This window comes from Homo sapiens, chromosome 17 (assembly GCF_000001405.40).
Source record: "Homo sapiens chromosome 17, GRCh38.p14 Primary Assembly".
NCBI lineage: Eukaryota > Metazoa > Chordata > Mammalia > Primates > Hominidae > Homo > Homo sapiens.
Genome location: NC_000017.11, coordinates 4,788,800 through 4,800,815, shown reverse-complemented (window position 1 = coordinate 4,800,815; position 12,016 = coordinate 4,788,800). Strand labels below are relative to the sequence as shown.

Sequence of the window (12,016 nt, the reverse complement as noted above, 5' to 3'; positions counted from 1 at the left end):
CTCACTGAACTGACTTGCTAGTAGAGGGAGGGAGACAATCATACACAGGTAACAGCTAAGCAGAACCCAAGATGGTGATGTGTGCTGCTTTGAAGAAAATGAAACAGGGTCATGTGAGAGTGGGATTAGGGGGTGGTGATTCTTCAGTTTCAGGTGGTTGGGAAAGGCCTTTCTGATGAGGTGACATTTGAGCTGAGAGCTGAATGATGAGCAGCCATGTGGAAATCTGGGAGTGATGTGTCAGTGCAGGTTTACTAGTTCCAACAAATGGCCATCTCTGGTGCAGAATGTTGACAGTGGGGGAGGTTGCCCACGTGGGGAGAGGAGCACATGGGAAATATCTGTATTTTCGACTCAATTTTGCTGTGAACCTAAAACTGATCTAAAAAATGAATTTTAGGCTGGGTGCAGTGGCTCACGCCTGTAATCCCAGCACTTTGGGAGGCCCGGGCAGGTGGATCACCTGAGGTCAGGAGTTCGAGACCAGCCTGGCCGACTTGGTGGAACCCTGTCTCTACTAAAAATACAAAAAAATTAGCCAGACGTGGTGGTGGACGCCTATAATCCCAGCTACTCAGGAGGCTGAGGCAGGAGAATCACTTGAACCCAGGAGGTGGAGGTTGCAGTGAGCCGAGATCACACCACTGCACTCCAGCCTGGGGGACAGAGCCAGACTCTGTCTTAAAAGAAAAAAAAAATTTGGGAGGCCAAGGCAGGTGGATCACCTGAGGTCGGGAGTTTGAGACCAGCCTGACCAAAGTGGAGAAACTCCGTCTCTACTAAAAATACAAAATTAGCTGAATGTGGTGGCGCATGCCTGTAATCCCAGCTACTCGGGAGGCTGAGACAGGAGAATTGCTTGAATCCGGGATGTGCAGGTTGCAGTGAGCCAAGATCACGCCATTGCATTCCAGCCTGGGCAATAAGAGTGAAACACTGTCTCAAAAAAAAAAAAAAAAAATTTATTTAAAAAGAGCTGGGTGCAGTGGCTCACGCCTATAATCCCAGCTACTCAAGAGGCTGAGGCAAGAGGATCTCTTGAGGCCACTTCAAGACCAGCTTGGGCAACATAGGGAGACCTTGTCTCTAAAAAATATTTAAGGCCGGGTGTGGTGGCTCATGCCTGTAATCCCAGAACTTTTGGAGGCTGAGGTGGGTGGATCACCTGAGGTCAGGAGTTCAAGACCAGCCTGGTCAACTTGGCAAAACCCCATCTCTACTAAAAATACAAAAACTAGCCAGGCACAGTGGTGCCCGCCTATAATCCCACCTACTTGGGAGGCTGAGACAAGAGAATCGCCAGAACCCGGGAGGCGGAGGTTGCAGTGAGCCAAGACCAGGCTACTGCACTCCAGCCCGGGCAACAGAGTGAGACTCCATCTCAAAAAAAATAAAATAAATAACTAAATAAAATAAAAAAAGGATGGGCACAGTGGCTCATGCCTGTAATCCCAGCACACTGGTAGGCTGAGGCAGGAGAATCACTTAAGCCCAGGAGTTTGAGGTTACAGTGAGCTATGACAGTGACACTGCTGCCTGGATGACAGAGCGAGACTCTGTCTCTAAAAAATACATAATAATAAAATTAGCCTGAGGTGAGGTGACACACACCTGTAGTCCCAGCTATCGAGCTCCTTTATGTCCCTGGCTTGAGTGGGGACAGCTTCGGAAGGGCCAGAGTCTATTTTCAGCCTCTCATCCAAGAGGTTGATCACACCCCCTACCATGGGAATGGTGGCTTCCAGAGCTGGCCAAACCACTCCCAGTGGTTTTGTTCTCCCACTCATCATTCATCTTAAATTCCATTTGCAGACAAGGCCCACCTTTCTCCCAAAAGCCAAGGAAGTCACAGTGCTACTGCTGACCACAAGGTGAGGTAACAGAGGTTAAGTGTGGAGAGAGGGGACCATGAGGCTGGGCTGGAGGAGGCTGGTCTTTGTGGCCTTAGGGACAGTAGTCACCCAGGATGACTGGCAGGAAGCAGGCTGAAGGAAGGTGACTCCAGTTTTAGTCAGAATTCCGAGTTCCACCTTGGGCTTGAACAGGGAGTGGGTGTTGCTGGTACCCCCAACACCAACCACAATCCAGTGGTTCAAGGACCTGGATATGGTGGGGGAAAGGAAGTTTGGGGGAAGGCAATTTGGAGAAGAGGTTTGAAAACCACCCATGTAAAAGTTTACTGGGGAATAAAGCATTCATAAACTCCTTTCATCTCCTCTCCAACTTGCTCTGAGTTCAGTGCAATGGTTTTTACAAATAGGAATGGGCCAGACAAATTCGGACTTGAAGTCAAAAAAAAAAGAACCCCAAAGTACAAAGATTCTCTGTGACAAACTTTATTAAATTTTGCATCAGTACAGGGCATCTCTTATTGCATACTAGAATCCCAGGATTCAGGCGGGTGGTAAAGTGGCAACGGCGAATTTGGGTATCTGGTCTCCCAAAAGTACTTGCCGCTCTACCCCTGACTCTGCAATGGCTGCCAGGCGGATCACTCCTCCACTGGAGCCATCCCGCTCCATGGCCAAAGCGAGAGCTGTGGATAAAAGAAGAAAGCTGGGTTCAGATTCAGATGCCGGGATCACTGCAAGGAATGAGGAATGCTGGCCTGGCTTGGGTAGTTGGGGTTGAAGCTCATAGGCCCAGAAGCCTAAGCTCTCACCATTGGCAGTGAATTGCAGACACTCTTCCTTGGTCATGCCTTCCCGGTAGGTAGCATCAACATAGCCATAGATGTAGGAGCTCCCGGAGCCTCCAATGGCAAAGGACTGCCTTACCATCATACCCCCCATAGGCACTGAGTACACCTGCCAGATAGAAGGAGAGGAGTCACCAGTCGTATCCTCCCTCCAACACACGTACATTCACCTGTCCATTCTGCTATTGGTCTGAGGCACGTTAATAGTAAGAATAAGTGAGGTAGAGACTGGAAAGAAAAAGAAAATGGCTGGGGAGAGGATAAAAGTCCTGGCTCAAGTGTGCTCTGGTCGGGTGGGGATCTGACCTGCCCTCCTTCTTGAGGGTCCCAGCCTGCGATGATGATTCCCGCCATCAGGTCTTCCCGGTATCGGTAACACATCTCCTTAAAGAGGCTGGCTGCTGTGTGGACCAGTGGAGGCTCATTCAGTTCAATGCTAGAGGGTCAGGGAAGTCACAGAGAAAGTTTCAAGACCTAGAAGTCAGGCTATTTAGCTCCTCAGCTTCCAACTCCCTTCAGATACTTGCCCCTCCCCTGCCCACAAGCACCTGTGGAAACCGAGCTGGTAGGTGACAGCATCAGCTACTGCCTGGGTATCAGCAGCTGAGCCTGAGCGACAGCAGAAAATGCGGTCGTGAATAGGTGTCAGCTTGTCAGTCACTCGATTGGCGATGTAGGACCTGCAGGATGGCAGAATAGTGAGGAAAGGAGCCCACCTGTCTTCCACCTCCATCCCATCACTACCCACTCTCTTAGGGCTCAGGGATAGGATGTCCAGTATTGCCTTTTTTTCCTTTTTCTTTGAGATGGAGTCTCGCTCTGTTGCCCAGGCTGGAGTACAGTGACGCGATCTCTGCTCACTGCAACATCCACCTCCTGGGTCCAAGCGATTCTCTAGCCCTAGCCTCCCAAGTAGCTGGGACTGCAGGCACGCACCGCCACGCACGGCTAATTTTTGTATTTTTTAGTAGAGACGGGGTTTCGCCATGTTGGCCAGGCTGGTCTCGAACTCCTGACCTCAGGTGATCCACCCGCCTCGGCCTCCCAAAGTACTGGGATTACAGGCGTGAGCCACCGTGCCTGGCCTCCAGTATTGCTTATTCTCATCCAAACTGAAGCGGGCTGGAGAACAGACTTTTGTAAGGATTCCACTAACGAGTGAGGGGAACTGAAAGTAACAAAAGTTGGGACAAATCTTTATCTCCAGAGAGAGAAGAAACCTCTCTTCCCACAGTGGTCTGTGGAGGCAGGCAGGGTGGGCTGGCAGGCAGGAAAGGAAAAGGAAGATGGGAAGACCTTTCACAAATCTGTCCTGAGCTCACCCAGTGGTTGTTCTGGAGTCCGCCCCCAGAACCACGCCCCCGTCAAACTGCACGGCCATGATAGTGGTCTGGGAAAAGGGAAAAAGGAGTAAGTCTACATTCTCCAGCAGACACAAACCTCAATGATCTCTCTACCTAGTTCCAAAAATACAAAATCTGTCCGTCGCTGAACCATTTTCAAATCTTATAGGGGCCTCAGCACCCCGCAGAATACCAGAATGCCAACCCTCAAATCTCAAAAGACTCATCCCGTACTTAAGCCCAAGATCCTCACTAGCCTCGCAGGATTTCAGAATTTCAAACTTCAGCCCACCCTCCACCTCCCACTACGAAGCTACCGCACCACTCCACCATCTTCGGGGTACCTCTCCCCATTCCTGGAGCACAACACATTCCACCTCCTCTCCACCCCTGCCAGATCTCTCAACCCCACTCAGGCTTTATCTTCCCATCGCGTCAGGCCTTGTGCACGTCCTATGAACCCCGATTCCTTCCTCACCCCAGTGGAAACTTCTCGGCTTTCCCAGTCTGGAGTGAACGCCTCCGGCCCCCAAGCCGGTGCTGGCCCGGCTCCCCGAGCAGCTAGTAAGGTAGCCGCCATCTTTCTCCTCCGGTACTGCCTCAAAGCAACTGTCGTAAAGCGCTCTGTCACGCTCTTTGGTCGCGCTTTGAGGCCTTCTGGGAGCGAAGCTACTCCGAGGTTGACGGCAGAAGGGAAAAGAAAAGTACAGTACTGCATGGGGACGGTTCTTTTGCGACAGTGAGCACTTGATGGCAGCGTGGCAAGCAACAAACAAAACAAGAAAGTCAGCAAAACCCCCCCCCCAAAAAACCAAAAAAAACCCAAAAACCGTTCGGCACTTTGGGAGGCTGAGGCGGGCGGATCATGAGGTTAGGAGTTCAAGACCAGCCTGGCCAACATGGTGAAACTCCTTCTCTACTAAAAAATACAAAAATTAGCCGGGCGTGGTGGGGCGCGCCTGTAATCCCGGCTACTGGGGAGGCTGAGGCAGGAGAATCGCTTGAGCCTGGGAGGCGGAGGTTACAGTGAGCCGAGATCACGCCACTGCACTCCAGCCTGAGCGACAGAGCAAGACTGTCTCAAAACAAAAGCAAAAACAAAACAAAACAAAAAACAGTCCTAGTGGCTTGCGCCGTACCGATCTTATGGAGTTACAGTCCAAAGGGCCCACAAAATAAACCTGAGAGTCTTTGGGCTAAAGTGACCACACCATGTTTTCATTTCTTTTAGTTATATACTTAGGAGTATATGCTGGCAGAGGAATTTATGGGTTCTATGATAACTGTATGTTTAACATTTTGAGCAACCGACAAACTGTTTTCCACAGAAACTGCACCATTTTACATCCCTACAAGCCATGTGTGAGGGTTCCAATTTCTCCACATCCTCACCAACACTTGTTATTGTGCATTTTTTTAGTTATAGCCATTCCAGTGGGTGTGAAGTGGTACCCTGTGGTTTTCATTGGTATTTTTCTAATGATTAGTGATGCTGAGCATATTTCCATGAGATAATTGGCCATTTGTATGTCTTTTTTGATGCAATGTTTTTTCAAGTTCTTTGCACATTCTAAAATTGGGATATGTCTTTTGTTTAATATATTTTTGGGGTTTAATTTTTTTTTTTTGAGACGAGGGTGGGGTGTGTGTGTGGGGTGGGTTTGTCTTGCGGTGTTTCCCAGGCTGGAGTGCAGATGGGATCATGGTGCACTATATCAGCCTCGAACTCCTGGGCTCCAGTGATCCTCCCGCCTCAGCTTCTCAAGTAGCTGGGACTACAGGTGTGTGCCACTGAACCCAGCTCTATTTGTCTTTTTTTTTTTTTTTTTTTTTTTTTGAGACGGAGTCTCGCTCTGTCGCCCAGGCGGGACTGCGGACTGCAGTGGCGCAATCTCGGCTCACTGCAAGCTCCGCTTCCCGGGTTCACGCCATTCTCCTGCCTCAGCCTCCCGAGTAGCTGGGACTACAGGCGCCCGCCACCGCGCCCGGCTAATTTTTTTTGTATTTTTAGTAGAGACGGGGTTTCACCTTGTTAGCCAGGATGGTCTCGATCTCCTGACCTCATGATCCACCCGCCTCGGCCTCCCAAAGTGCTGGGATTACAGGCGTGAGCCACCGCGCCCGGCCTCTATTTGTCTTTTTATACTGGTGTGATCTCGGCTCACTGCAGCTTCCGCCTCCCGGGTTCCAGCAATTCTCTTGCCCCAGCCTCCCAAGTAGCTGGGATTACAGGCATGCGCCACCATGCCCGGCTAATTTTTGTATTTTTATTAAAGAGATGGGGTTTCGCCATGTTGGCCAGGCCGGTCTCGAACTCCTAACCTCAGGTGATCCTCCCGCCTCGGCCTCCGAAAGTGCTAGGATTACAGGCATGAGCCACTGTGCCTGGCTCTATTTGTCTTTTTATTGTTGAGTTGTAAGGGTCCTTTTTAATATTCTAGGTACTAGAAACATCAGATACATGATTTGAAAATATTTTCTCCCATTGGATTGTCTTTTCATGTCCTTCATTGGTGTTCTTTGAAGCATGAAAGTTTATAGTGCCAGCTCTTACATTTTTAGGTCTGTGGTCCATTTTGAGTTAATTTTTGTATGTGATGTGAAGTAGAAGTCCAAATCCATGCTTTTGCATATGGATAGTCAGTTAGTTGTTCCAGCACCATTTGTTGAAAAGACCTGCCGGGTGCAGTGGCTCACGCCTGTAATCCCAGCACTTTGGGAGGCTGAGGCAGGCGGATCACGAGGTCAGGAGACTGAGACCATCCTGGCTAACACGGTGAAACCCCTCTACTAAAAATACAAAAAAAAAATTAGCCGGGTGTAGTGGTGGGCGCCTATAGTCCCAGCTACTCGGGAGGCTGAGGCAGGAGAATGGTCTGAGACCAGGAGGCGGAGCTTGCAGTGAGCCGAGATCGGGCCGCTGCACTCCCAAGCCTGGGCAACAGAGCAAGACTCCGTCTCAAAAAAAAAAAAAAAAAAAAAAAGACTGTCTCCCCATTGAATGATCTTGGCACCCTTGTTAAAAATCATTGACCATACATGTATGGACTTACTTCTGGATTCTCAGTTTTGTTTCATTGATCTATATGTCTATCCTATGCCAGTATCATATTGTCTCTATTACTGTAGCTTTGTAGTACTTCTTTTCTTTTCTTTTCTTTTCTCCTTTTCTTTTCTTTCCTTCCTTCCTTCCTTCGTTCTTTCTTTTCTTTTCTTTCTTGACAGATCTTGCTCTGTCACCCAGGCTGGAGAACAGTGGCGTGATCTTGGCTCACTGCAACTTCCACCTCCCAGGTTCAAGCAGTTCTTTTGCCTCAGCCTCTGAAGTAGCTGCGACTACAGGCGCCTGCCACCACGCCAGGCTAATTTTTGTAATTTTAGTAGAGACGGGGTTTCACCATATTGGCCAGGCTGGTCTCAAACTCCTGACCTCGTGATCTGTCCGCCTCGGCCTCCCAAAGTGCTGGGATTACAGGCGTGAGCCACTGCGCCCGGCCCTTTAATTTCTTTTAACAGTGTTTATAATAGTTTTCAATATATAGGTCTTGCACTTCTTTGGTTAAATTTGTTCCCAAGTATTTTATTCTTTTTGATGCTGTTATAAGTGACATTGTCTTCTTAATTTCATTTTTGGATTGTTCATTGCTAGTACATAGAAATACAACTGATTTTGGTTTTGATCTTGTATTCTGCAACTTCATTGAACCATTTATTAGTTCTTTTTGTTTGTTTGTTTGTTTTGTTTTTGAGACAGTCTTACTCTGTTGCCCAGGCTGGAGTACAGTGGCGCAATCTCGGCTCACTGCAGTCTCCACCTCCCGGGCTCAAGCAGTTCTCCTGTGAGTGCCACCATGCCCAGCTAATTTTTGTATTTTTAGTAGAGATGGAGTTTCACCATGTTGGTCAGGCTGGTCTTGAACTCCTGACCTCGTGATCTGCCTGCCTCAGCCTCCCAGTGTTCGGATTACAGGCGTGAGCCACCGTGCCTGGCCATTTATTAGTTCTAAAAGTTTGTGTCTATATTCTTTAGGGTTTTTCTATATAAACCATCATATCATCTGCAAATAGAGATAATTTTATCTCTTCCTTTCCAATCTGGATGCTTTTTATTTCATTATCTTGCCCAGTTGCTCTGGCTAGTTACTTCAGCACAATGTTGAATAGATTGGCAAAAGCAGACATCTTTGTCTTGTTTCTCATTTTAGGGGAAAAGCTTAGGAGAAAGCTTAGGGAAAAGTCTTTCATCATTGAGAGTGCTGTTAGCCCTGGGTTTTTCACAGATGCCTAGGCAGGGGAAGTTCCCTTCTATTCCTAGTTTGTTGATTTTTTTTTTGTTTGTTGTTTTTTTCTTTTTTGTTTTTTGTTTTTTTGAGACAGAGTCTTGTGCTGTTGTCCAAGCTGGAGTGCAGTGGCACAATTTCGGCTCACTGCAGGCTCTGCCTCCCGGGTTCCAGTGATTCTCCTTCCAAAGTGTTGGGATTACAGGCACATGCCACCGTACCTGGCTAATTTTTGTACTTTTAGTAGAGACGGGGTTTCACCATGTTGGCCAGTCTCTACTAAAAATACAAAAATTAGCCTGGCATGGTGGTGTGCCTGTAGTCCCAGCTACTCGGGAGGCTGAGGCAGGAGAATCACTTGAACTCGGGAGGCAGAAGTTTCAGTGAGCCTAGATCGTGCCACTGCACTCCAGCCTGGGCAACAGAGCAAGAGTTGTTCTCAAAAAAAAAAAAAAAAAGGAATACAACATTGGTTCAACATATGAAAATTAATGCAATATACCATATTAATAAAGGAAAAATGGAAAATTATCTCAATAAACTCAGAAAAGCAGTTTAAAAATCCAACATTCTCTCGTAATAAAAAACAATCGTTGGCCAGGCGCGGTGGCTCACACCTATAATCCCAGCACTTTGGGAGGCGGAGGTGGGTGGATCACCTGAGGTCAGAAGTTCAAGACCAGCCTGGCCAACGTAGCAAAACCCCGTCTCTACTAAAAATACAAAAATTAGCTGGGAGTGGTGGTGGGATTACGCCTGTAATCCCAGCTACTCAGGAGGCTGAGGCAGAAGAATCACTTGAACCTGGGAGGTGGAGGTTGCAGTGAGGCGAGATTGCGCCACTGCACTCCAGCCTCAGTGACAATAGTGAAACTCCGTCTCAAAATAAGTAAATAAATAAAAAAAATAAAATACATTATAGGAGGGTGGGAGAGGGGGCACAAAAATAAAATAAAATACATTATAGGGAGGGAAAGGATGGACAGAGAAACAATGAGGAGGCTAGTGCAGTAATCTAGGATATAGTCTCCCTTCATAGTCAAAGGTACTAGGAGTGGAGAAAGTGGGCACTGCTCAGATTTTCACAGATTGGATGCTGATATGATGAAAGAGAAACAGAAGGGCTGGGGCTGGGCGCAGTGCCTCACACCTGTAATCCCTGCACTTTGGGAGGCCGAGGCGGGCGGATAACCTGAGGTCGGGAATTCAAGACCAGCCTGACCAACACGTAGACAGCCTGTCTCTACTAAAAATACAAAAAGTAGCCTGGTGTGGTGGTGCATGCCTGTAATCCCAGCTACTTGGGAGGCTGAGGCAGGAGAATTGCTTGAACCCGGGAGGTGGAGGTTGCGGTGAGCCAAGATCGCGCCATTGCACTCCAGCCTGGGTAACAAGAGAGAAACTCTGTCTCAGAAAAAAAAAAAAAAAAAAGAAAGAAAACCAAACCAAAACGAAAAAACAACCCAGAAGGGTCTGGATGACGAGGTTTTTGGTCTGAGGACCTGGAAGAATGAAGTGTCATTTGAGCCAGCAAAGACTATGAAGGGAGAATTTTCGTGGGGAGGGCGTGTTGGAGCTTAGTGTTGGACATGGTAGGTTTGCTATGCCTAGGTGACATCCAAGTGGAAATACCGAATAGGCAATCGTATATGTAGGATTCTGGAGTCCAGGAGAAAGTGGATTGAAGTTGTGATTTGGAAGTTATCAGTGTATGAAATGGCAAGATCTTTCATGTTCATTGTGGGAGTGGCCGTGGAGTCACTTGGCTGCACAGGGGTGAAGCTCAGGGACAAGTCTGGGCTGGAGACTCAGCGTGTGTTTGGCAACCGAAGCCACGGGAGTGACTACGATAGGCCGGGGGAGCGTGAGTCTCTCGGCTGCCGAGAACAGAGATGACACATCTTCTCACCTTCGTTTTTTATTTCCCTTAAGCGCCTGTCGTCATCACACAAAACGCCCTACGTCGACGCTGCCAAATATTGCTTTTTTATTCCTCACAGCTCCTCCCGTCTTTCCGAGACTGCGGACAGAGGGAGCTCAACGCCATTCCCTGCCGGGGGCGGCCCTCGCCGCGGCGACGTCACGGAAGAGGCGGGATACGGAGGCGGCCGCGGCGCGGGCTGCAGGACTGACCCCGGGCTGCGCGGCCCCACCCCGGGCGGTCCGCTCCGTTCCCGCCGGTCCCCGCAGCCGCCGTCTTAGGCCAGCTGGAGCAGGCCGCGCTCGGCCAGCAGGCTCTGGGTGCGGTTGTAGACATCCTCCAAGGTGCCGGCGGCCCGGACCAGCGCGGCCCGCGCCTCCGCCTCGGTGGCTCCGGGACACGCCAGCTCCAGCAGGCGGCGGCGACCCGGGAAGGCGAGGAAGGCGAGGCGGGCGGTCTGTCGGACCAGCCAGGGGTGATGCGGACCCAGGGCCGCACGGTAGGCGTCGCTGCACTGCACGCCCGCGTCCGGGCCTCCCAGCGCGCCGGTCGCCACCCGGTGGAGGCAGAGCTGGGACCAGCGCAGCGCGCGGTGCAGCAGGAGCAGCGTGCGAGAGCCCGAGCTCCGGGTCGGGTCCCGGGGGGCCGCCCCCGGCTGCTCCAGCAGTCCCGCCCTCCGCTCCCACGCCGCCATGGCCACCAGCGACCAGTAGTGCTCCGCGTCCGGGCCGTGCACCCGAGCCTCCAGGTCTGTCACCTTGGTGAAGGCCTCCCTAGTGGCGAAGGCGAAGACGGAGCCGAGGGGAGTCAGGAACCTGCGGGCGAGACGATTTGAGAGAATGGAGATGGAGCCGCCAAGGAGGCGGGGACCGGCTGGGGGGCGGGAGGCCACTCACTCGACGAGTGCCCTCCATCCCGCCAGGTACGGCGACAGCCCCACATCCCCTTCGGGTTTCAGACTGGCGTGGAACCGCCTCATCATGCGGCCCAGCATCCCCCGAGGGCCCAGACACGGAGGCTGTTTCCTCTCCGGGGCCTCCAGGGTTCCCGACTCCTGCCGGACCTGGTGGGGAGACACGATGGGAAGAGGTGGGAGCAGATTCTGCCCTGAAGAAATTGTTCCGAAGGTTTAGCTGGCGGCTCTTCTGCTGTGCGCTCAGCTTCCGACGGGAGAGGGTAGACCGGGGGAGGACCCGCCCTTTGCCGGACCCTCAGCCTGGCTCCACGTCCCCCTGTTCTGGTCCCTCCTGGAGCGCCCGCGCCCAATCCTGCGCCTAGCGTACCTGGAAGGGCGCCGTTTCCCCTGGAACGCAGGGCTGCGCCCTGGGTCCGCAGCCCGAGCGGGCGCCTGGGTAGAGGAGAAGCGGAGCGGTGAGGGCTCGAGAAAGAGGCTTGAGTCGTGAGGGCCTGGATTCCGGGCTTCCTCCCGGAGCAAGTGAGGGAAGGGGCAGCTCACCTAGGCTCCGAACACTGAGATAAAGCAGCAGCAGCGCGAAGATAGCGAGAGGAATTGAGTGGCTGAACCAGTGCCGCAGGGCTGGGGGCCGCGCCGCCACTCCCATGCCTGCTGCTGGGACCGCCGCCCCCTCACCAGCGCCTAGCCAGTCCGTGTCCCTCCGCCTCCAGGAGGGGACAGAAGCCCGTGGTGCCCTGAGGCGCAAAGGATTAATAATTAACCTACTAAGGCCCCTTCCCCTGTGCCCTTCGCCCCAAAGGGCAGCTACCCTGGGTGCGAGGAACTGGGTGAAGGGAATTTGGGGGATTCGACAGCAGT

General features: G+C 51.2%; 2 protein-coding genes across 4 annotated transcripts, besides 4 other annotated features; both read right to left on the bottom strand.

The window, feature by feature from the left end:
• Window positions 1-2,320: 2,320 nt before the first annotated feature.
• On the bottom strand, window positions 2,321-4,652 carry PSMB6 (proteasome 20S subunit beta 6). Of its 2 annotated transcripts, none has more exons than NM_001270481.2 (6): window positions 4,520-4,652; window positions 4,021-4,088; window positions 3,247-3,378; window positions 3,005-3,134; window positions 2,663-2,807; window positions 2,321-2,556 (listed from the first exon to the last, which is right to left on the bottom strand). In NM_001270481.2, exons 1-6 carry the CDS (start codon window positions 4,619-4,621, stop codon window positions 2,492-2,494), a joined length of 642 nt encoding a protein of 213 aa, NP_001257410.1. In that variant the 5' UTR covers window positions 4,622-4,652; the 3' UTR covers window positions 2,321-2,491. The 2 variants fall into 2 exon arrangements, with proteins under 2 accessions (NP_001257410.1, NP_002789.1); NM_002798.3 differs by having other exon boundaries at window positions 2,321-2,536.
• Window positions 4,295-4,893: an enhancer, noted in NCBI's record as "H3K27ac hESC enhancer chr17:4699218-4699816 (GRCh37/hg19 assembly coordinates)". NCBI's record gives its function as "activates a minimal SCP1, AML or CMV promoter by ChIP-STARR-seq in naive H9 embryonic stem cells {active_cell/tissue: H9 hESC(naive)}" and the evidence as "EXISTENCE:reporter gene assay evidence [ECO:0000049][PMID:30033119]".
• Window positions 4,339-4,868: an enhancer, noted in NCBI's record as "active region_11549". NCBI's record gives its function as "activates an Ori minimal core promoter by ATAC-STARR-seq in GM12878 lymphoblastoid cells {active_cell/tissue: GM12878}" and the evidence as "EXISTENCE:reporter gene assay evidence [ECO:0000049][PMID:35858748]".
• Window positions 10,086-10,165: an enhancer, noted in NCBI's record as "active region_11548". NCBI's record gives its function as "activates an Ori minimal core promoter by ATAC-STARR-seq in GM12878 lymphoblastoid cells {active_cell/tissue: GM12878}" and the evidence as "EXISTENCE:reporter gene assay evidence [ECO:0000049][PMID:35858748]".
• On the bottom strand, window positions 10,227-11,852 carry GLTPD2 (glycolipid transfer protein domain containing 2). Of its 2 annotated transcripts, NM_001014985.3 has the most exons (4): window positions 11,699-11,852; window positions 11,526-11,590; window positions 11,139-11,305; window positions 10,227-11,057 (listed from the first exon to the last, which is right to left on the bottom strand). In NM_001014985.3, the coding sequence occupies exons 1-4, from the start codon at window positions 11,802-11,804 to the stop codon at window positions 10,520-10,522; spliced, it is 876 nt and encodes a 291-aa protein (NP_001014985.3). In that variant the 5' UTR covers window positions 11,805-11,852; the 3' UTR covers window positions 10,227-10,519. The 2 variants fall into 2 exon arrangements, with proteins under 2 accessions (NP_001014985.3, NP_001362730.1); NM_001375801.1 differs by having other exon boundaries at window positions 11,526-11,852.
• Window positions 10,396-11,045: a silencer, noted in NCBI's record as "silent region_8044". NCBI's record gives its function as "represses an Ori minimal core promoter by ATAC-STARR-seq in GM12878 lymphoblastoid cells {active_cell/tissue: GM12878}" and the evidence as "EXISTENCE:reporter gene assay evidence [ECO:0000049][PMID:35858748]".
• Window positions 11,853-12,016: the final 164 nt, after the last annotated feature.